Source organism: Homo sapiens, chromosome 10 (genome assembly GCF_000001405.40).
Source record: "Homo sapiens chromosome 10, GRCh38.p14 Primary Assembly".
Classification (NCBI taxonomy): Eukaryota; Metazoa; Chordata; class Mammalia; order Primates; family Hominidae; genus Homo; species Homo sapiens.
In genome coordinates this window covers 119,316,600-119,340,505 of record NC_000010.11, presented here as the reverse complement: position 1 = coordinate 119,340,505, position 23,906 = coordinate 119,316,600, and the positions used below count along the sequence as shown (strand labels likewise).

Sequence of the window (23,906 nt, the reverse complement as noted above, 5' to 3'; positions counted from 1 at the left end):
TTAAAATTGTTTTGGAAATTGCAACCATTGACATATATTATTTTTGTAATGAGAAAAGGAATTAAAAGTAAGTTTTGGGGCTGGGCATGGTGGCTGACACCTGTAATCCCAGCCACTTTGGGAGGCTGAGGTGGGCAGATTACTTGAGGCCAAGAGTTCAAGACCAGCCTGGCCAATATGGCAAAGCCCTGTCTCTATTAAAAATACAAAATTTAGCTGGGCGTGGTGGCGCACACCTGTAATCCCAGCTACTTGGGAGGCTGAGGCATGAGAATCATTTGAACCCAGGAGGCGGGGGTTGCAGTGAGTGAGACTGCATCACTGCACTCCAGAATGGGTGACGGAGTGAGACTCTGTCTCAAAAAACAAAACAAAACAAAACAAACAAACAAACAAAAAAACCACACTTTAAAGATGGTTCAGCATCAATCGTCAAACAGGAAAGAAAAAAAACAAAGCAGTACTCAAAATGCTTCAGGATTTTACATCTTCCTTTCTACTGCTGGCTGGAAACGGCCACAGCTAGCAGCCAACAGTAGCTCATGCCCCTAGCTCTTTGGAGGGTAATTTTGTGTTGTTCTTTGGTTGTTGGTTTTGTTTTTGTTTAATAGAGACAGAGTTTCACTCCCATCGCCCAGGTTGGAGTGCAATGGTGTGATCACAGCTCACTGCAACCTCTGCCTCCCTGGCTCATGCAATTTCTCCTGCCTCAACCTCCCAAGTAGCTGGAACTACAGGCTCACACTGCCAAGCCTGACTAATTTTTTGTATTTTTAGTAGAGACTAGGTTTCGCCATGTTGCCCAGGCTGATCTTGAACTCTGAGCTCAAGCGATCCACATGCCTCTGCCTCCCAAAGTGCTGGGATTATAGGAGTGAGCCACCGAGCCTAGCTAGTTTTTGTTTTTGAATTTGGAAGTTTATATTGGCCCCAAATATCCTACAACCCATGGCTTTTCTTCCCTGCAACCCCCCACTCCTGCCTTTCGGGTACTAGCTCTGGGGTGTTCAGAACAAGGGGGTTTAATACACCCAGGCAGACGTGGAGGGGAGACAGGAGTTGCAGCTTTGCTGGGCCCTGCTGCCAAGGTACTGCTGAATGGCCTGAGCTCTGGCAAATAAATTCCGTAAACAGAGTCTAGGCAGAGACCATTAAAAGTGTTTTCCTAGCATCTCTTTATGGGGCAGAACGCTGTCACGCTCAGGCTGCTGCAGGGTGGCTGGGCTCTTGTGTTGGCTTGAGGTCCCCCGCACAAACGAGCTTGTTTTTCCCATTTTCAGTGAGGGGCCTTAAAATAGACAGAAAAATCCTTCTCACACCTGCTGACTGCAGTGAACCGAGGCAGGCAAGCCAGGCAGAGGCCGCTCGCCAAACATCATCCACTTTGTCCATCCCCATCACATTTCAGGTTAATGGTGTCTGTGGATGCAAGTGCAAAGCTGGAAATGAAAAGAACATTCCAGAGGAAGCAAACAGCACTGTACAGGCTGCTGTGTTCTGGCCTTCAAAAAGACAGTGGACTTTCTTACTTTGAGCCATAGATCAAAATGTCACAATGAAGTACAAAGATGTTCATTTGAACATTAATTGTAATGGCAAAAACTAGGTGGAAAAAACCCAAATAGTAGAATATATACATGTGATAGTTATGAGAACTTTACAAATCACATTTATTCTGGGTTCACATTTATTCATTTGAAAATAAGCAAGGGCTTATTTTCAAGATCGCTTAAAGGAAGAATTCACCAACAGGAAGTAAGCCATAGGTTGGGAGAGACCGGGGGCCTGGGTGGATGCTGGGTTGAGGGTACTAGGTGAGCTCCCAATGGCCCAGTATGTCATTTCACCTGCAGGAGGGCAGCCCATGAGATGGGAAGTTTTGCACTTTGCTCACTGATGTATCCACCATGCCTGACACTCACTAAATATGCATCAAATGGAAAAATGTACATCACATTTATGAAGATTTTAATGACAAGGGAAAACATTTTTGATACTATGTTAAGAAAAGAGGTAAGAAACAAAACCACATGTATATGTATGGGGAAAAAAGCTAGAAGAAATTACATGAAGGCGTTAACTATGGCTCTGTCTGAGATGTAAAATTAGCGGTGACTTTCTTTCCTTATAATTTTCTGTGTTTTTTAGCAAAATAATTTACCAATTACTATGACTTAACCAATAACAAACAGGGAGATTGAAAAAGCTGCAACATGGCCTGGAAAACAATTGCTCCTCCCACAGACATTCCTGTGGTCCACTGGGGAAGTGAGCAGCCTGGGACTGCAGTGGTTAACTCCCCACCAGGCTCAGGAGAGAAGGAGTGTCCACCCTCAGACCCGGTGGGAATCAGGATCCCTGACCCCTCTACCTTTAACTCCACCAGACCACATGAGCACGTGAATATGTTATGGGTTCAACTGGATCCCCTAAAGAAGATACACTGAAGTCCTAATCCCCATTACCTCAGAACGTGACCTTATTTGGAAAGAGCGTTGCTACAGAGATAATCAAGTTAAAATGAGGTCATTAGGGTGGGCCCTAATCCAATATGAGTGGTGTCCTCATGAAAAAGGGGAAACTTGGCCAGGTGTGGTGGCTCACGCCTGTACTCCCAATACTATGGGAGGCCAAGGCAGGAGGATCTCCTGAGATCAGGAGTTCAAAACCAGCCTGGCAACCTGGTGAAACCCCGTCTCTACTAAAAATATAAAAAAAATTAGCCGGGCACAGTGGCGGGTGCCTGTAATCCCAGCTACTCGAGAGGCTGAGGCAGGAGAATTGCTTGAACCCGGGAGGTGGAGGTTGCAGTGAGCTGAGATCGTGCCATTGCACTCCAGCCTGGGCAACAAGAGCAAAACTCTGTCTCAAAAAAAAAGAGAAAAAAGTGGGGGGGAAACTTAGAGACAGACATTCACACAGGTAGAAGACCGAGTGAAGGTGAAGACAGGGATAGGGCTGATGAGTCTACAGCCACAGAACACCAAATAATGACAGCAAACCCACAGAAGCCACGGGAGAGGCCTGAAACAGCTTCTCCCTCCCAGCCTTCAGAACGAACCAAACCTGCTGACACCCTGATCTTGGACTTCCAGCCTCCAGAACTGTGAGACAATAAACTGCTGCTGCTTAAGCCACCTGGTCTCTGGTATTTCACTATGGCAACCTCAGGAAAAACTAACGCAGTAGGGGAGAGAGCCTGCCTTGGAGTCAAATCATGGGAAGACCCTGGCAAGACCTTGTTTCTCTGGGACTCAGTTCACTTATCTGGAAATGGGAGACCTGGCCTAGAACAGTGCGTTTCAAACTCAAATTTAGCCCTAGAATGAAATCTGACACGGAAGCCCAAATATAAAAGGTAAAATAAAGCCCAATTGGGTAAAAGCCTGGTCTAGATCACACACTCTCCCTGCAGAGCAGTCTTTGAAAACCACAACTCCAGGTGATCTGTAAAATCCCTGCCACCACTCCATTCTAAGACTGTCCAAACAAGAAACCCACGGACAGTATCGCTGGGCATCTTGCATGTGCCTGAGCTCGTGCCTTCTCTTTCAAGGAGCTTCCGGCCGTAGTGGGGAGGTGAGACTAACACCGCAAAGACAGCGGGGCCACCCTTCCCTCCTGAGAGCTCCAGCTGCGGACAGGTCACCTGATGTTCCAAACCCGACACATCTAAATTTATTTCGCCCTCCAAGGACAAGCAGATGCTGTGCCTTATCACAGCACGGCTAGGTGGCAGAACGACAGACATGACGCGCCCTTATCACCCCAAGGACAGCAATGACGTCTGCAGAGACTTGGTTTCCCTGACGATGAAATCAAGAGCTCACGTGCCAGCCAGGCAGGCCTGAAGGGGACTGGGTCACCAAGACGTGTGAGATTCTGATCATCCTCTCAGGGGCCCCAGACTCATCAGGGGGCACAAAGCTAACAAGGAAAGGGGGAAACAGTGTCACCATTCCCTCTGCCCCACTGTGGAATCAGGCAGGGTATTTGGTCTTTATTCATTTGATTTTTAATTAGACAAAGAACATGCCAATTCATTCTTTTTTTAAAAAAAAAACAATCTTACAGATAAAGCCAGTGTCCCCTCTGACCTTCACGCCTTCCCTGGGGGTAACCATTGTTAGGACTCGGGGCTGCAGGCTTCTAGATGACACACGTCCTTTCAAGGAAACACACTGGGCCAGAGCAGGGGCCTGGGCAGAGTGTGATGCTTCCAGCTTCCCTGGGCAAACTGTGGAGCCGTGGGGAGGAAGGAAGGCTGAGGACTGCAGGAATCAGGGCAGGCTTCCAAGAAGAGGAAGCTGGAGGCAGTGCTCTAGGAAGAGGAGGATTCCGATGACTCCAAGGCAACAGTCTCTGGGACACTGAACCCACTTCACCTCAGCACAAAAACAGCTGGCCTCATCCATCATGTGTAGCCGATTCAGCTTCTCTGGGAAACTCCAAAACCCTCTCAAAGGGTCCTCAACCTCTGCCCTCAAACCACTATCGCCGTGAGGATGACGATGACAATGACGATGCTGATGACAATGATGGCCTGTGTGCAACACTCTGCTGGCCTTCCCAGAGGCTCTACCAGGTTGGTGTTAGTGTCTCCAGTTTATACACAAATAAACTGCAAACTAGAGAAAGTAAGCTACTTGCTCAAAGTCACAGGGCTGGCAGCAGCAGCACCACCACTTCATCTTGATGACAGTGACAGAGATCCTTCCAGGAGCCCTCGCTGCTGGACAAGGGTGGCCTGTGACACAAGTCCGGTGACTGCAGCAATGCCTAGCACAGAGGAGGAGCTTAACAAGTATCTGTTAGCCAGTGTCTGGTTTAAAGAACATGCGCAGGCTGGGCGCAGTGGCTCACGCCTGTAATCCCAGCACTTGGGGAGGCCAAGGCAGGTGGATCACATGAGGTCAGGAGTTCGAGACCAGCCTGGCCAACATGGTGAAACCCTGTCTCTACTAAAAACACAAAATTAGCTAGGCGTGGTGGCAGGTACCTGTAGTCCCAGCTACTTGGGAGACTGAGGCAGAAGAATTGCTTGAATCTGGGAGGCAGAGGTTGCAATGAGCCAAGATTACACCACTGCACTCCAGCCTGGGGGACAGAGTGAGACTCCATCTCAAAAAAACAAAAAAGGGAACATGGCAGTTGGGCAGAGTGGCTCACACCTGCAGTCTCAGCTACTCAGAAGGTTGATATAGGAACATTACTTGAGCCCTGCCTAGGCAACATAGTGGGATTCTGTCTCAAAAAATAAATATCAGAGAAAGATAAAGAAGGAAAGGAGGAAAGAAAGAAAGAGGAGGTGGGGGGAGAGGGAGAGGGGGAGAGAGAGAGAGAGAGAGAGAGAGAGAGAGAGAGAGAGAGAGAGAGGCAAGGCAGGCAGGGCAAAGCAGGCAGGCAGGCAATGTTGGGTGAATAACCAAGTACTAGACTACTTCAAGGAAATCTTCACACTATGAAGATGATTTTTTTTCCCCCATGTTAAAAGATTCTACATTTTCCTCTAGGAATCCCCCACAGCCTGGGACTTCTGCTCCTGGAAACAGTTAAGGCTTTGGCAAGAGGCTCTCCCACAAGGCAATTCGATCTCCCCTGTCTGTCTGTGAGGGTTCGGGGCACTGCTGTGGCACGCCAGACGCAGCAGCTACTTTCTGTGAACAGCCTCCTCATAAATGTCAGTCCTGTTGGGGGGTGGGGAGGGGGCCTTGATTTATTATATAGCTTTTGGACAGTTCCTACAGAAATATTGCCAAACAGTGGAATAATCAACTCTTTCACTCAAGCCCCCTCAGACTTTTTTTAATGAAAGAATAAAGTACGCAATGAGCCTGAGCTAAATAAATAAAAATGCCACACTTTTGCCCAACAGACCTTTCTGCGTCACTGAGAAATATTTGCAGACCTCAACAATCTTTTATCTTCGTGATGACATTCCAGCCTTCCAAGTTTCGGACATCCTAAGAAATTCTTTGATTTGGGCTCTCTAATGATCTCCCATGAACAATTATCCCATTAACTAATAAAGTCACTATTTGATGTTTCACTGAGCAGACGTTAGAGAACCCCTTCTTCCTCTCATGGTCTGTCTGCCCTGTGCCAGTTCTGTTGAAAATCCGTTAGTTCATACGTGGGGCTCACACTGGAAGCAGAGAGATGGGTGGCAAGGAATCTCTCTCTCTCTTTTTCTTTTTTTTAGAGGGTCTCGCTCTGTCACCTAGGCTGGAGCGGTGCAGCAGCACATTCATAGCTCACTGTATCCTCGGACTCCTGGGTTTGAGCAATCCTCCTGCCTCCGCCCCTCAAAGCACTGGGGTTCCAGGCTTGCGCCGCTGCAGCTGGCCTAGGAATCTGTCTCAATGCTCAGGCCTGCACCGCTGCACCTGGCCTAGGAATCTGTCTCAGTGCTCATGGCTGCCACTCACAGTCCTGGCTTCCAGGTTGAAGAGAAGGCAACATCCATCCACCCACTCATGCTGCTACAGCAATGGAGACGCCCAGATGGAGAGCCTGTGGTCCAGGCCCTCAGGGAGCTCGCAGAGAGATCCTTTAAGCCAGGAGGGACGCCACTTCCTCCAGGGAAGTGGGGATAGATCTTTGCCTTGGTTCTGCAGCTCAGCAACCTGCTCCATACCCTGTGGAACTTTCTTGATTTGTCATCTCATCTTAATTTCAGTTGGTCTCCCATGCTCCTTGGTGGATGAGCTCCAGGAGATCAGCGATCCGCTCAGCTCCCCCGTGGACAGCATGTTTTCAGTGCTCACTAAACATGCATTGAATAAGCAGAGGAACTCGCTGCACACACTTACAAGATACAAGAGAGACAGAAACGTCCACCCCTTTGAGCACCTAAGTAGTCTCCCTGCCTTGAGTACTGGCTGGGGCCCTGCCCACACGTTTATGCAGCAATATGCTCATGGGGAGTTGCAAGGTGTCACTCCAGACCAGGGACCTGGCTCTCCTGGGCGGGTCACTCTCCCCTTGAAGCCTGTTTACTCCACCACCAATGGGTGGTGGACAAGATGCTCTCCAGTCCCCTGAGCTAAGGATTCTGTGAAAACCTGACATCACTGTGATCATGACTCCGACTACAGCTTCAGAGGAAACCAACCTGCCCCAGGAGCCACCAGCTTCCCCTCCCCACTTAGTGGCTGTGAGACTGTGGCTGAGTCATGTACCATGCTGAGCTGCCTCATCCAGATGGTGAGGATGGTGGGCAGGGGGAGGGGTGGGTTACAGCAGATGCTACCTACAGTGCCTCCTAAGGCCAGACTTTAATTACTTTAAGTGTAAACTACTGGCTAAGGTTAAATGGGTACAGCAAACACATGTCACCAATTTTTTTAGAAGAGCTCTAATTTCAAATATTTCACCTCATTCATTCCTTCATTCACCCAGTATTAATGAACCCCTATTATGTGCCAGACACTGTTCTCATAGTGAAACAGGCAAGACACAGTTGCAATTAACATAGAACATCTAGTACAGTGTGGGAGACAGAAAATACACAAGTAAACGAAAAGATGGCTTCAGACGGAGTTATGGGTAAGAACATTAAATAAACAGCACTATGGGAAAGGATGCAATTAGAAGGAGGGTATGGTTCCTTTTTAGAAGGCTTCTCTATGGAGATGATATTTGGACTGAGACCTTAAAGTCCCCTGGAAGAAAAAGTGTGAGGAAGAACATTCCGGGTAGAGAGAACAGGTGCAAAGGCTCTGGGCTGGAGACAAGCGTGTGTTATTCAAAGGACAAAAGGGAGACCAGCTTGTGAATGGAGGAGGAGGGAAGGATCCAAGATGAAGGTGAGGGCCAGCTCACATAGGGCAGCACAGGCAGGGCACTGCCAAAAGGACCATGGATAGGATTTAGAGAGTCCATGGACTGGGGTGGAGAAAAATGTCATCTTTCTTTTCACCAACCTCTAACTGAAAATTTGCACTTCCTTCAATTATGAATGTAGACAACAACCTACAATGATGTCAGCAGTGCCGGGGACTTGTCACCGGCAGAAATCAAAGATCCATTCCTATCAGTTGTTGCAGATATCTGAAAAGCTCACTCAGGTTCATGACAAGTTCAAAATTACAATAGCTGGCCGGGTGCAGTGGCTCACGCCTGTAATCCCAGCATTTCAGGAGGCTGAGGAGGGAGGATCACTTGAGCTCAGGAGTTTGAGACCAGCCTGGGCAACATGGCAAAATCCCGTCTCTACAAAAAATACAAAAATTAGCTGGGCATGGTAGTGCACGTTTGTAGTCCCAGCTACTCAGGAGGCTGAGGTGGGAGGATAGCTTGAGCCCAGGAAGCAGAGGTTGCACTGAACCAAGATCACGCCACTGCACTCTAGCCTGAGCGACAGAGTCAAACTCTGAGGCAAAAAAAAAAAAAAAAATCAAAATTACAATAGCTATTAGACCCACAGTTAGACCTTATAAAGTATTAACAAAGAAGCACATATATTTCTGTATCATAAATTTTAGAAGTATGTAGTAAGTATATTTAAAAAGGATCAGTTTCCTCTGTAACCCTATGTATTCTATTTTATCTATAAAAGCATTCTTCTGATAAGGGGTCTACAGGCTTCACCTTAGGGCAAAGTGCTTACAAGCCACAGTAAGGAGTCTGGGTTTTACTGAGTGGAATGGAGAGCTGTTGGGTTGGTTTCAGCAGGAGAATGATTTCACAGGGTCCAGTTTTCATTTTTCAAAAATCACCCTGGCTGCTAGGTAGAGATGGTCTATGACTGTCCAGGGCAGGGCTGAAGGCAGAAGGCCAGGGCTTTAACAGACCACCGTTCGGGGCCATCCAGACATGGCGGCATCCTGGGGTCCTCATGGGTTCTGCCCTCAGCTCTGATCAAGAGCCTTCTCATGGCACCACCTCACACCCTAAAGGGGCCCTGTCCCCTTGGCACAAAGCCTGTCCCAGGACATCCTCCCAAAGAACTTCAGAAAGTGAGCTCATGTGTCCACAAGAAAAATAAATGCGGTATTGGCCACTGTTTGGTTTGTGTATTGGTCTAGGAAAGAAATGAGAATTTTATTTTAAAAAGCCTTCCAGCAGGACCCCAGCAGAGACTGGGCAAACACCTCAGCGACGGACTGTAAACAGTGGGAAGGCCCAGACCCTGGCCCCGTGGCCACGAGCTGCAGCCCCACGGCTCACGTCAGCCTTCCTGCCCTTCCCGGGCCTCTCTCCCACGGCACTCACACACAGAGCCTTTTCAATACCCTCCGGCAGAACAGAAGAATCCATTTCCACACGCCAGCACGCACGTTCCTCACACCATCCCAGGGGAGTGGGCCCTGCCAAGAGGCCAGTTTATGGACCTAGAAGGACAGACAGGGCTGGGGCCCATGGTCGCGGCGGGGGGGTGGTCCATGGACAGAAAAAAGCTCAGAGCCAAATCCTGTGCTCCCAGGTCCCCCACAGTGGAAGTGAATGAGGTGGGGCCAGGCAGACTGGAAGCTGAGGGACACTCAGGTGCTCCCAGGGCAATGCCTGGAAGCTTATGGGGAGGAGGCCTAGAGTGAGGAAATCAACCTCCGCCTCCCAAGTTGAAGCGATTTTCCTGCCTCAGCCTCCTGAGTAGCTGGGATTACAGGCACCCACCACCATGCCTGGCTAATTTTTGTGTTTTTAGTAGAGGTAGGGTTTCCCCGTGTTGGCCAGGCTGGTCTCTAACTCCTGACTTCAGGTAATCTGCCTGCTTCAGCCTCCCAAAGTGCTGGGATTACAGGCATGAGCCATCACACCCATCCTAGATCTAAGAGTCTTAATTTGGGAGGAGGGGGCTGGGAGGGACACCAGGCCTTGGCAGGGCTAGTTAATCTCAAAGTATGAGAAGCTGTGTCTCAGGGGAGAGGTGGAAAGCCAGGGTGCACTGGCTCTTTGAATCTAGGAATAGGTTGGCACTGAACCTAGTCCTAGACTATGGACTGAATGTCCGCATCCTCCCTGCAACACACATGTTGAAACCTAACCCCCAGCGTGACGTTATTTGGAGGTAACGCCTTTGGGAGGTGATTTGGTCATGAGGGTGGAACCATCATGAATAGGATTAGTGCTCTTATAAAAAGAGACAAGAGCTCTCTCTCTCTCTCTCTCTCTCTCTCTCTCCCTCCCTCCCTCCCCCGCCCCACCATGCAAGGATACAAGAAGACAGCCAACTGTAAACCAGGAAAAACTGATGAGGACATCAGATCTGCTGGCATTTTCATCTTGGACTTCCCCACCTCCAGAACAATGAGAGATAAATGTCTGTTGTTTAAGCCACCTAGTCTGTGGGTATTTGTTAAAGCAGCCCATGCTAAGACATAGGTTACATGAAGGAGAAAAAGGCGGCGCAGTGGCTCACACCTGTAATCCCAACACTTTGAGAGACCAAGATGGGCTGATCACTTGAGGCCAGGAGTTTGAAACCAGCCTGGCCAACATGGCAAAACCCTGTCTCTACTAAAAATACAAAAATTAGCTGGGCGTGATGGCAGGTACCTGTAATCCCAGCTACTTGGGAGTCTGAGGCACAAGAATTGCTTGAACCCAGGAGGCAGAGGTTACAGTGAGCCAAGATCACGCCACTGCACTCCAGCCTGAGCAACAGAGCAAGACTCCATCTCAAAAAAAAAAAAAAAAAAAAAAAGTAGGTGTCTGCGTTGCTGGCGTGTGAACCATAGCAGAAACGGGACAGTTCTACAGTAACCAGCTATGCCAGCAAAAGCTTTTCTGCAGGGGGAAGGAGGTTTTTTTTGTTTTTGTTTTTGTTTTTTGAGACAGAGTTTCACTCTAGTTCCCCAAGCTGCAGTGCAATGGCGCAATCTTGGCTCACTGCAACCTCTGCCTCCCAGGTTCAAGTGATTCTCCTGCCTCAGCCTCCCGAGTAGCTGGGATTACAGGCATGCGCCACCACGCCCAGCTAATTTTGTATTTCTAGTAGAGATGGGGCTTCTCCATGTTGGTCAGGCTGGTCTTGAGGGAAGGAGCTTTTTAGTCTGCACCCACTGGCATTGTGGGTTGCAAGTTTGTCTAGTATCCACTCTGGGATATAAAAAAGAAACCCAGGAAGCTCACTGCTGTGTCGTCCCTCATGGCTCGAGGTCCCCAGCCAGTCTGCCTTCTTCTCTCCCGGCTTTCAAAATCTTATGTTTGTTTTATACATAATGTCCAGGGTTTTTGACTGTCCTTAGCGGGAAGGACAGGAAACACCGCATCTACTCCCTCTTGTCTGGAACCATAAATCCTATATTTCATATTTTCATCTTTTATATTTTTGAGAAACACATGAATAAAATATAGCAAAATGTTAAGATTTCTCTCATCTGGATGGCAGATACATGAATGCTCAGTATCTGGCTCTCAATGCTCTTCTTCTATTTATTAGAAACACTTCATAAGTTGAGTGGTCACTTACACCTCATTTATTCTTTCCTTCCCTCGTTCATCCAACTAACATCTATTGTGCCCCTCCTGTGAGGCAGGCACCAACTACGCAGTGGTGAATTTTAACAATCCAGTTCCTCCCCAAAGAGCCCTGAGGAAGGGTGCTCTGGCAGAAGAGGACAGGTGCTCTGAGAGACTCTGGTCTGGAGCTCATTTAAATTCAGGAGTCAAAAGAGGCTTCTCTGAGGAAGTGGCCTTCACATCTGGCTGTGCCCCATAGCACTCCTGGCATCACCACCTGCAGACAGTTTAGCCAGGGCCGGGAAGCACCGCCCTGCCAGGTGAGCGTGGCTGTGCGCAGGTGCCCGCTTCTCACATTGCTCCCCTTGGAGATGCTTTCCTCCTGTTGTAAGCTCTCACCTCCAACTCAACACCCCAGAAAGGTCTCTCCGAGCAGCCCTGTGGCCCTGTGGATGAGTGCAAGACGTTCCCTGGGGCCACAGTGAATGGGTTGTGAGGTAACATCCCTCTTTTGGGAGAAGCTGGGCTCAGCATCCAGGAATGGCTTTCTGGCAGCCAGCAGACCCAGGATGAAAATGACAGAGAAGGCTTGGCTCACCAGAAAGGGGGTACTTGCTGGGCACACATGGGTGAGTTGCAACCATGGCAACTAAGGTCTCCTCCCCAGTCCCACAACAGGCCCTATTCTCTCTGAGCCAAAATTAGCATGAAGAACAAAATGGTCCCCCATGAGGAAATGGCTAGTCACCAGAGGGGTTCTCCCTGGCTCCCCTCTCTGAAGGCCCCCTGCAAAGTCTCAGTGGTCAAATCCTCCCCAGTAAGCTACAGCCCCAGGAACACAGCCCCTCTTCTCTTCCACCCGACCTCGACTGCCTCCAGCAGAAAAGCTGATCATCAAGGGTGCACACGGCATCCACGGCACCGTGGTGTCTGTGGGAACTCCGGAAAGCACGCCAGTGTGCAGAGGGGCATGGGCCCCTGGTCTCCCGACGAGGGCACCAGCTAAGCCCTTTACACACATGGTCTCATCTCACCCACTCCACCACCCTATGACTGGGTTCACAGACAGTGTTACAGCTGGGGAAACAGGCTCAGCAGGATAAAGTAACTTGTCATGTGGCCAGCAGAGAGGGCAGGATCTGAACCCATGTCTGCCTGGACCCAGAGCCCCCAATCCCTCAGGCCAGCAGCATTCTCGGCCCGAGAACACCATGGGGATTCTGATGTGCCTGGGATTTTAGGGATGGAAGGTGGGTCTTAAGGACGTTTCCTGACCCTTCAGGATCCCACCTTGCTTCACCTGCTCATGTCTGCCGTCGTGGGGCGGGGCACAGATGGCCTCCTATCACCTATAAACATGGAGTGTGGACTGAGTGGCCCAGGGCCAGGACGGAGCAAGCCTGGGGGTGGCAGGTAAGTCCCCCCGGCCCTGGAAACTGGTGGGGACAGACCGTGAAGAGGCCATTTAGAAAAGCTGAATAAATGGCTACATGTGGCCTTGAATTCCAGGGCAGGCACGGGGCAGCTCACCCGAGGCCCTGGGCAGAAGTCCCCAGAAAAGCTGGGCCTATGGAGTTCTGGGCAGCACCACCCCGTGCCCAGCCTTCAGTGGACTTGAGTCTTCTTAAACGTGTTCAGCACGTCCATGACCTCTGACAATAATAAGCGGATGGGGAGCCCTCAGGCAGTGATGGGGAAGGACCCACCCCAGGGCACAGAGGGGAGAAGGGCCGGGACCCCAAACACTCTGGAGTGGGGCCTCACATCATGCCTGTCCCCTGGGCGCTCTCGCCCAGGCACCCAGGCCTCCTCACCACAGCCGTGTCCTGCGTGGGACCAGGCACAGACCCACTTGGTTGGCTGCTCTTGGAGGTGCCTGGTGTGTGTGTGCTGGATACAGGGGGCTAAGCTGTGCCACTGAGCCCAGTGGCTCCTCAGGAGCACTGACATCCCCAGCAAGTGGAAAGGGGAGCCCTACCTCCCCCACCTCACCCCACATCCCCCACCCCACCTGACTCTCAGCTCCCAAAGCCTGGGCTGCCCCCTGAGGGCAGGACCCACAGGCTCCAGGAAGAAAGGGGAGAAGTTATGAGCGGTGGCTCTGTGTTGGGCCTGGCCCACCTCCACCACCCTCCCATCAGCTGTGTGACTTTGGGCCGTTACAGAACCACTCTGTGCCTCAGTTTCCCCATCTGAAAGGTGAAGTGAAATATTAAATAATAGCACCTGCCTCAAAGGATAACTGGGAGGAGGTCACTCTGCCCGGCACATGCCATATATTCAATGAATACTGGTTGCCTGTTTATGTTGATTAGCAAAAAGGTCAGCCTGGAGCCCCTACCTGGAAGCACAATACTGTGTCCACTGATTGGCATTTGCCTCACTGCACAGACAGCTTGGCGGCTCACCCATTTGCCTTAATGCACAAACGGCTTGGCGGATCACCTGCTACTCACTCCCCGCACAGCCCCCAGGCAGGACAGCTTACCTATGGTCCTTCGGAGGTCTTCACACTGGCTAATGTGAGGGAACTTCAGGATTTCTTTCCACTTCTTGCTTTTCCCTTTGCGCTTTCCTCCGCCCCCTGCAGAGATGGGGAAAAAGATGCCTGGCTGAGGCTCCAGAGCCTGCGGCGTCCCCGCAGTGAGCCTGCCCACCAGCCTCCTGGGCTGAGAGACAGAGGGACGGGCTGTAGGCCAAGCCAGTGACACACCCCCAGCCCAAGACACACACAAACACACACACTCTTCCTCCCAGGTGGGCTGTGAGCCCCAGTATCCCGCACAGTCCTGCCTGACCCCGGCCCCCTAGCAGTGAGGCCTAGGGCTCCCCTGCACCCCACCCACACCAGGCATCCCCCACGGCTGTTCCCCTAGACTAGACCACAGCCTTCCCACAGCAGGGGCCAGGCCTGCCACGTCTGAACATCCCCTTTAGCTTGGGGCATCCCTGTGGGGCAGAGGCACAGGCAGGTGCCCATGGCCCCTCATGGCCCTCGTTTTGTCCTCTTGCTTTCTGTGGAGAGTCTCCTTCCCCAGCTGGAGGCTAGATGTTGGGGGACAAGAACTTCAGTTTCCACTTGTCAAGTACCGCCTTCTTCTTGCTCCTCACAAACCCCAGAGTCTCCGAGGCTGGAAGGAAGGAGGGACTCCTGAGGGGCCCGCCCTGCCTCACATCCTCCCCAGTGCACACGAGTACTGAGCACGTGGACATGATGAACATGCACACGCACAATGAATGTGCACTAGTAATGAACACATGTAATGAACAGTCACGTGTAACGTGCAGAACCACATGAGGCGCACACAGGTGTTCCCGTCATCCTTGCACTCCTGGTCCAAGGGATGATGGACAGGTGTCAGGGTGCACAGGCGCAAACAGCGATGGGGTGAAGCTCTGGGCCTCAGTGTCCCTGAGCCCACCAGCATCTGGGCCTTGGACCTGAAGGCACTGCTGTGCCATGTGGCCAGAGGGCTCCTGGGGACCAAGGTGCCGTCACCCACTCTCCACCCTTACAGTGGCGCTTAGCCACCATCTGTCCATGACTCACCACAGGTCATGGAGCCCTTTGTGCCCCTTGGTTATCAGGATTTTATGTAGCTCGTCTGCTTGCTCCGGGTGGGTATGCAGCCCCTCCACTCTGTCACCCTCCCAGGAACCAGCTGGGCAGGACAAGGCCCCTTCTGCACACCAGCAACCCAGGGGAGCCCAGTGGCACTCAGCTCCAGCCCTCTCCCAGCCAGCCCAACCTGTCCTCCACCTTGCTCTGGCCCTGTGGCCATCCCCTGCTGCCTAGGCAAGCCTGGACAAGCACCCGCCCTCTCTGAGTCCTCATCCATGAAGTGGAGACAGTAAGGCCTTCCTCCCAAAGCTGAAAGGAGGGAAAACAAGGTAGCATGTGTTTAAAAGTAGGCACAGAACTGGGGATTCTTAACTGTCATCCAAGCTATCCTGGAAAGCAAGGTCATAGCCCTGATTAGCCAGTGCACCTGCCTCTGAGAATGGGACCAGAACTCTGCTCCTGCTCCAGGAAGCAGGAGAGAGTGCTGATGGGGAGGAGTCTCTCTCCTCTCCTCTCATTGCATCTTCAACCCAACTCCCTCCTCTCCAACTAGCCCAGTGTCCTCCTCTCAAATCTCCACAGACGGCCAAGGCCTCACACTCCGAGGGACAGAAGGAATGCGTATTGGGCACCTGCCGTGGTGAGGCGGCACCTGCCGTGGTGAGGCTCCACCTGTACATTATCTTGTTTAATCCTCAGAATGACTCTTTGAGGAAGAAATCACCCATGCCACGCTCACTCTTTCTGCCAACGGGGGCCACACACACAAGTGCACACACATTTCATGTACATATAAACATACACGCGCATACTGCTCAGCCATGCACTGGCCCTGCCCGGGGCCAAGCCCCTCACCTGCAGGCTTCACCCTTACTCTACAAGGCAGGAACTTTTTTTTTTCTTTTTTTGAGACAGAGTCTCACTCTGTCACCCAGGATGGAGTGCAATGGCACGATCTCGGTTCACTGCAACCTCTGCCTCTCCCGGGTTCAAGCGATCCTCCTGCCTCAGCCTCCCGAGTAGCTGGGAATACAGATGTGCACCACCGCACCCGGCTAATTTTTCATATTTTCAGTAGAGACAGGGTTTCACCATGTTGGCCAGGCCGGTCTCAAACTCCTGACCTCAAGTGATCCGCCTGCCTTGGCCTCCCAAAGTGCTGGGATTACAGGCATGAGCCACTGCACCTGGCCGGCAGGAACTATGATATACCCAGTTGACAGATGAGGAAATCAAGGCATGGGGGAAAGGTAGCAAGTCACCTGTGGCCCCGTGGCTCATAATTGGCAGAGCCAAGACCCCAGCCTGAGCAGAATCCAGACCCTGGGCCCTGGCTCTTGCTATTCTCTCTGTAAACCACCATTTTGGGTGCCCTGAATACAAGAGAAATTCTCAGAGGATCAAAGAGAAAGCTGGTGTCAGACTTCAGGAGTGACGCGGCAGCCATGACGGGAGCAGGAGCAAGGATCTAGCTGGGGACCCAGCCTGTGAGCTCCCAGAAAAGCTGCAAGCCAGACCGGAGGCCCGCAGGGTCACCAGTGTGACCCTTAGGTGGCTTGTTTGTCTGCTTGCTTGTTCACTGAACCAGTTGCCAACATTGAAAAATTAGGAGATTCCCAGGAGCTCAGATGAGGACACAAAGGCACAAGAATGATATAATGGACTCAGGGGACTTGGGGGAAGGGGAGGAGGGAGGTGAGGGATAAAAGACTACACACTAGCTACAGTGTACCTCGCTCAGATGACGTGTGCACCAAAATCTCAGAAATCACCACTAAAGAACATTCCATGCAACCAAACACCACCTGTTCCCCCAAAACTATTGAAATAAATAAAAATGAGGAGATTTCACATCGAAATCCAGACCTTGGACGTCTCTCCCACAGCCAGGCACCCCACATGGCAAGAATCAGCCGGAGCTGGGCAGCAGCTGCCCGGGGGACAGCACATGTGGCCTCCAGACAAGCCAATCCTCATCTAGCCGCAGCCCTCATTCAGGCAGCCTAGAGGTTCTTCTGTGCACGCCCAGATAGGGCCACCCTCTCAAGAAATCAGCCTAAACCCTAGCTCAGCAGAGTCTGATGTCCCCATCCCAGCAGCTGCAAGGCCTGGGAGGGTCGTTAGAACTCGACGGGTCCATCCCCTGCTCCCCATTCCTCTCGCACACTACTGATTCTCAGACCTGGCAGGCATGAAGCACCATTTTTTGCATATGGCAAAATATGCATAACATAAAATGTACCAGTTTAACCATTATTTAGGTGAACGAGTCAGCTGCATTAAGGACGTTCCCATTGCTGTGGAACCATCACCACCTTCCATCTCCAGGACTCTTTCATCATCCCAAACTGAAACTCTGAACCCATTAAACATTAACTCCCATTCCCTCCTTCCTCCTAGCTCCCGGCAACCTCTCTCCTACACTCCATGTCTGTGATTGTGACTACTCTAGATACCTCGTATAAGGGAATCATACATGTTCTTTTGTGTCTGTTCTTTCACTTAGCGTAATGTCCTCGAGCTTCGCCCATGTTGGAGCATGTGTCAGAACTTCATTTGTTTTGAAGGCTGAATAATATTCTGTTGTATGGGTATACAACTTTTTGTTTATCATTCATTTGTGGATAGACACATGGGCTGTTTCTACCTTTTAGCTATTACGTATAACGCTGCTATGGATATTTGCAAACAAGTATCTGTTCAAGTCCCTGCTTTCCATTCTTTTGGGTATATACTCAGGAGGGAAATTGCTGGATTATATGGTATATATGTTTAAGTTTTGGGGGAACTGATGAAGCACTCTTGACAATACAGATTGCTAGGCTGTACCCCAATCCTCTGTGATTGGACCCCAGGAATGTGACTTCTTAAAAGGATCCCCAGGTGACTCTCAGGCAGCCAGTCTATGGAACCCAGGAGTCTATTTTATACATGCACACTTATAGATTTATTCATTAAGAAAGTTAACATAGGTTCACTGATTCGTTCAACCAATATGTGTTGAGCACATACTAAGCGGCAGGCCCTCTGCAGGTGCCGGACACAGTGTCGCTAGCAGGGAAGACAGACACATCCAACGCGTTACCTCAGTGGTTCCCAACCCCAGCGACGGCCTCCCAGGGAACATTTGGCAATGTCTGGAGACATTTTTAATTGTCACCACTGGGTGGAGAGGTGCTACTGGCAGCTAGTGGGTGCAGGCCAAGGATGTGGTTAAATATTGCGCTGTGCACAGGACAGACCCCTGGAACAAAGCATGGTTGGCTCTAAAATGTCAAGGGTTGGGACAAGATGTGGTGGCTCATGCCTGTAATCCCAGCACTTTGGGAGGCCAAGATGGGGGGATTGCTTGAGCCCAGGAGTTTAGACCAGCTTAGGCAACATAGCAAGACTCCGTCTCTATTAAAAATAAAAATAAAATAAGTAGCTGGGCGTGGTGGCGCACAGGAGGATTGCTTGGGCCCAGAAGTTCAAGGCTGCAGTGAGCTATGATCATGCCACTGCACTCTAGCCTGGGTGCAGAGCAAGACCCCATCTCAAAAGAAAAAGTAAGTCAAGGGTAGGGATGTGGAAAAAATGCTGCTTTACTTAATGACCATTTTACCAACATTTAGGAAAAGAACAGGGGTTGGGGGAGATCTGTTAGTGATGGGGCAGCTGTGGTGGGGTTGGAGGCGGTGGGAAAGGTAAGCCACTTGGAGGCAGCCCCAAGCCGAGGGTGCAGACTCTCCAGCTACGGCCTGGGCTCACTTTCCTCCTCAACCCTATTTCCTCAGCTTCCAGAATAGGGCAGGGGGACTGTGGTGGGCAGGATAACGCCCTCAGGGATGCCCTAATCCCTAGAACCTGTGAATACGTTAGGTTCCATGACAAATGAGCATTAAGTTTGTGGATGAGATTATGGATAATGATAGGGACATAATCCTGGATTATCCAGGTGGGCCCACTGTCACCAACAGGGTCCTAAAATGTGGAAGAGGGAGAAAGAGCAACCAGTGTCAGAGTGATGCAATGTGACGAAGACTCACCAGCCATTGGCTGGCTTGGAAGATGGGAAGGGGCCACGAGCCAAGGCATGCAGGCCAGGAAGGATTCTCCCCGGAGCCCCCAGAGGGAACACAGCCCTGCTGATGCCTTGACTTTAACTCACTGAGAGTGCGTCAGACTTCCGATCTCCAGAACGGTAAGATACTAAATGTGTGGTGTTTTAATCCACTTAGCTTGTGGCAATCTGTTACAGCAGCAACAGGAAGCTAATACGAGGATGTTCTCAGCAGGGGATCCCCCTAAATGACAGCAGACCCCAGAATGGCCTCTCACCCCATATCTGGCTTCCAGTTCCTCTAAAAGTGCCATGAAATAAACCCAACCTTCCTGACTCAGATGGGCTGGGAGAAGGTTTCACTTCTTAACAACAAACAAAACCTGCCTCAGAGAAGGCACCACGTCTAGACAAATGTTTGGCTCTCAAGCTGCTGCGGGGTTGTGAAGCTGCATATTTGATAACTGAAGTATTGGCACTGTTTATTATTTCATAGGACTTGATTGTTTCTCTGTATCCTGAGAGGGGGCAGGGCCCAGCCATGCCACTGTAAAAATTCCTCCTGTGACCTGGCCCTACGGCCCCCGCTGCCCTAGGCCCACCTCACTGCTGGGGAGGGGTGTTAGGCCTACAAGGGGCTGGGGCCATCACCTCCCACCTCCCCCGTGCTCAGGTCCCAGCAGCAGGAATGGCCAGTTCCCAGGCCTGACCACCCATAGGCTCAGCCCGTTCTCCTTGGTCCCATTCAGGGCCTCGGTGACTGTCTTCCTAAGCTTTATTTCCCTCCCTGCCTCTGCTCTCAGGGCCTTTACACTCACTGTTCATTCTGCCAGGAGCACCTTCTTCCTACCTTTCCGAATGTTTCTCACCCACACTTCCAGTCTTAGCCTGAATTCTACCTTCCTGGAGGTCTCCTCTGAGCTCGGTTGTGAAGCAGGCCCATTCTCCACGTGCCATGGAAGTGTGTAGGAAGCACTGGTCGGTCAGTCTGTCTGTCTCTGTGTTGAACTGCACATCAGCTTACAGATCCATTCTCTCAACGCATGCAGCACATTTTCATGGACTCATTCAACCTCTACGTGCCAAGTGACTGCTGGACTCCCAGACCCAGCCCACAGCTCTCATCACCACCTGAAATCTTCCCACTTATTTGTTTCCTTGCCCGTCATCAGTCTCCCCTGTGCTGATAGCGGACCCGTGGTGTCAGGGACCTGGGTTTCTTTGTTCTCTGTCACCTTCTTCTTGGTCCACTGTAGAAGCCCAAACAGTATCTGCTGAGTGAATGCAAGTGTCATGCTTTACATCCAGCCACCTGGCCACCTGGCAGCCCCTCCAATCCCTGTATACATCATTGTTCCCCCACTCCGACCCTACAGGCATGGCTTTCTCTGCCAGGAATGCTTGTTCTTCAAGCTCCAGCTCTAGTGTCCCTTCTCATGCTGCCCTGAAAAGGCAGAGCCCCCTGTCTGGATCACATCCTCTCCCAGCTCAGGTCAGACCTGCTCCCGGGAAGGAGGCGGGTGCAGCTAATTCTTGTTTAATTGCAAGCTTCCATTAAGTTACTTGGCTGACTGGGTAAAGGCATGAATGCTTGCAGGAATAAATGACAACCTCCCTCCCTGCCAGCCTTCTGGGCTGAGCACTGACCTGGGCACTGTACATTTGGCCCTCATTCAGGAGGTACTGACCCTATTCACAGATGAGAAAGCTGAGGCTCAGGGAGAGGAATTAATGGAGCCAGGGAATAAGCCACACACCCAGGCGGGAGCACAATCTTCTGCTGGCACTGGCTCACCGCTATTTCCTGTCCCGAGGAGCCTCCGGCTTTATTTGCTTTCCCAAAGGATCCTCTGCTGTTCAGGGTTTACCTTCCAGGTACCCGTAATGAGTCAGGGAAGAGGACATGGTCCCTGACCTCATCCAGCTCATTCCATGCATCAAAGAGCAAAGATGAGCAAGACAGCTGGGGTTGTAGCCAGGCAGGTAGGAGAGGTTGCATGGAGAAGGGTTGCCCCGCCAGGCAAGGGAAAATGGCAGTGACCGAGGCCCAGGGCCGATCAGGGGGGCTCCCGCTCTGGGGAAGGCACCAGAGGACCAAGGTGGCCTCGGATCGGAAGGAGTCCAAGACAAAACCTGGAGAAAGGCGGACAACAGCAAGATGGCGTGTCCCCTGATTCATGGCTCGGGCTGCCACTGGCCCTTTAGAAGGGACAGACTCTAGGGAGGGCATTGCTTGTCCAATCCCACTCTCACTCCTGCTTTCTCCAGCCCTGGGGGCCCCCTCGGCTGCCAGCTGCCAGCGATGTCCTCCAGCAGGTGCCCTCCTGCCAGACTGGGGAAGTATGTTAAGGGGAAGGCAGGGCAGGAGGAAGGAGAGTGGCCAACAAAGGAGGGTGGGGGCCCCGCAGGAGGAGGGCATGTCCTATCAGGGAAAGGAGTGCCTGATGGAAGGCAGAAGCCAAGTAATAATAAAAAGCCACTGATTCTTAAGCACGGGCCAAGCACTTGTCACAGTGAGCTACTGAGAGACTAAAGCGTTTCTTTTGCTCCTGTGGCTAACCCAGGGAAGAATAACGGTATCATTCCACCCAAAAAACTGCCATGGGAGAAGAGGCTGTCTTGGTGGGGGAAGAAACTGGCTTGCTGTTATTCTTGTTGCCTTTGCTGTTTCTGAGAGTGGTGTTTGTGTTTTCAAGGCAGGGGCTGAAATGAACCGGTGTGGAGAACAGAAGGGAGAAGCTGAGGATGGGGGAGGTGCAGTGCTTGTGGGGAGGGCAGTGGGACGACCTGAGCTCCAGGAAGGCATTGTCCCTGTGGCAGTGTCAGCCCAGTGGGATGCGGCTGGGGTGCAGCGATGATGGATTCTGAGCAGTGAGCGGCCTACAGCCCCCAGAGCCCTGTGATCACCTGGCACAGTGGAGTGGAACTGCCAGCCCAGCCCCCTCCTCCAAAGGACACTGACAAAGCCCGCAATACTGGTGATGTGGACGGTCTAAGGTCTAACTTACTGGGTTCCTTTAAGCCCAACAGGTTCACATACCATCCTTGGGAGGGATGGGATAGACCTGTGCAAAACAACTGACCCTGGACTGCTTATATGGCCTTTGCTGTACCCTCAGAGTCAGGGAATTTGCACCAGTAACATGTCATCTAGTTCAATCCTCACATCACCCCCGTGACGTAGGTCCTAGTATTGAACCCGTTTGACAGATTCAGAAATAGAGTCCCAGAAAGGAAAGAACCTTGCCTCAATCAGGGAGTGTGTATCATAACCTGAACCAGGGCTCTGCTGTTCTGACTCTTAGTCTAATGTTCTTTTCCTCCCTGGTGACAAATGTGCAATCGATCAGAGAAAGGTTCCACGGGGGAAACTGAGGAAGGTTCCATGCATTTGTTGGAAGGAGCTTCCTTCTTGCCCTTAAGTCAGTGGTTCTCGGTGGTCCTTGGACCAGCAGCATCAGCATCGCTGGGAGCCAGTTAGAAATGCAGCTTCCTGGGCCCCACCCTGGACCTACAGAATCAGACACTCTGGGGATGGGCCAGCATCAGTAACTTAATGAGCTCTGCAGGTGATTCTGATGCACTCTCACTTTGAGAACCACTGCTGTAAGTCAAGAGAAAGTGCCTGGAAATCAGTGAGAAAAGGAATGACGGGACCACTCTTTCTAGGAATTTCTTCCTCTCTGACTTGTTATTTCTGCCCTGTCTACGTCTTCTAAAAAGGACCTGAAGAGACACACACACGCTTGGAAAAGTTGACTGAAAAATATTCCTCCCAGCTCCAGAATCTGGTGATCCTGGGCTCTGACTCTGACAAGGTCGCTGCGTCCTGCCTGACTTGAGTCAGGCATTCTTCTCACAGCAGGATGCCTGGCAGGCTTAAAGCCATTAATAGGGCCACTCACAGGGGCAGGGCAAACCGTATGAGGCCCCTCCTATACCGGAAAGCCTAAGGGAGACTGCAGGGAGAGCACTGCTCAGCTGCGGCCTTGAGGGGTCCGGGCCAATGAGACAGCCTCAGGGGCCGCTTCCCCCCAACTCTCCCCCAGGCCCTGATCATCTCCCTGTGAAGTTGGGCAGAAGTCACCTCAAGCCTCACACCTATTTTGGGCACACACACACACACACACACACACACACACACACACCCATCTACTGAATGCCTCTTTGCCTTCTGGTGACCCTTGGACCTTTATTGTTTACAGATCCCAGAGAAAAGAGAGTCATCCCTGGGGATGGGAAGGCAGGATCCGCAGTGGACCTGCCGTGCTTTCTGGACCCTGAATAAGTGGGGGCCTGTTTTCCCATGGGCCACACTCCTCTGGGGCAGACTCCTGGCATCTCCACAGATCAGGACACTCTCACGTCTTTGCATAGGCCCCAACTTGTCACTGTATAATAAAGAATCTGACTGGCTTTTGTCCCTGGTTCCTGAGAGGTAGTCTCTAAGTCCTTGGAATTTTCTGAGTAATAGGAGTGTCTTTTTCATTCATGGTAGGCCCCTGAAGCCATATCTGAGTTTACGCTAACAAGATGACTCATGAGGGGGGCTGGGCATGTCAGAGAGACCAGCCATGGGATTAGAAGGTTGAGGCTTTGGGCCACGTGGTATCACCCTGACTTCCAGGGAGGGACGGGGGGCCAGACACTGGGTTCGACCATGTGCCCAGTGATTCCATCAATCATGCCAAAATCATGATGCTCCAGTAAAAACTCCAGACACTGAGGCCTGGGTGAGCTTCCTGGTAATCACACACCAATGTGCCAGGAGGTGGCACATCCATGGCAGCTTCACATCTGGGACTCTCAGGCCTTGCCCTGGGCACCTCTCCCTGTCAAGGGTTTGGGTATCTTTTTGCAACAATAGAACTGTAATTGTCAGTGTAGCGCTGCACT

General features: G+C 51.3%; 1 protein-coding gene and 1 long non-coding RNA gene across 2 annotated transcripts in view, besides 3 other annotated features; one reads left to right on the top strand and one right to left on the bottom strand.

Annotated features, from left to right (window-relative positions):
* GRK5 (G protein-coupled receptor kinase 5) overlaps positions 1–23,906 on the bottom strand; it is a 252,175-nt gene that overhangs the window by 119,240 nt on the left and 109,029 nt on the right. The window contains exon 2 of the mRNA NM_005308.3: positions 13,895–13,990. Within this exon, the coding sequence (NP_005299.1) occupies positions 13,895–13,990 (96 nt within the window). The remainder of the gene's footprint in view (positions 1–13,894; positions 13,991–23,906) is intronic.
* On the top strand, positions 1,186–5,876 carry GRK5-AS1 (GRK5 antisense RNA 1). Its single transcript, XR_946357.4, has 2 exons — positions 1,186–4,585; positions 5,514–5,876. It is a non-coding gene; the product is annotated as a GRK5 antisense RNA 1 (long non-coding RNA).
* Positions 21,902–22,535: an enhancer, noted in NCBI's record as "H3K27ac-H3K4me1 hESC enhancer chr10:121077483-121078116 (GRCh37/hg19 assembly coordinates)". NCBI's record gives its function as "activates a minimal SCP1, AML or CMV promoter by ChIP-STARR-seq in primed H9 embryonic stem cells {active_cell/tissue: H9 hESC(primed)}" and the evidence as "EXISTENCE:reporter gene assay evidence [ECO:0000049][PMID:30033119]".
* Positions 22,536–23,169: an enhancer, noted in NCBI's record as "NANOG-H3K27ac-H3K4me1 hESC enhancer chr10:121076849-121077482 (GRCh37/hg19 assembly coordinates)". NCBI's record gives its function as "activates a minimal SCP1, AML or CMV promoter by ChIP-STARR-seq in primed H9 embryonic stem cells {active_cell/tissue: H9 hESC(primed)}" and the evidence as "EXISTENCE:reporter gene assay evidence [ECO:0000049][PMID:30033119]".
* Positions 23,170–23,803: an enhancer, noted in NCBI's record as "H3K27ac-H3K4me1 hESC enhancer chr10:121076215-121076848 (GRCh37/hg19 assembly coordinates)". NCBI's record gives its function as "activates a minimal SCP1, AML or CMV promoter by ChIP-STARR-seq in primed H9 embryonic stem cells {active_cell/tissue: H9 hESC(primed)}" and the evidence as "EXISTENCE:reporter gene assay evidence [ECO:0000049][PMID:30033119]".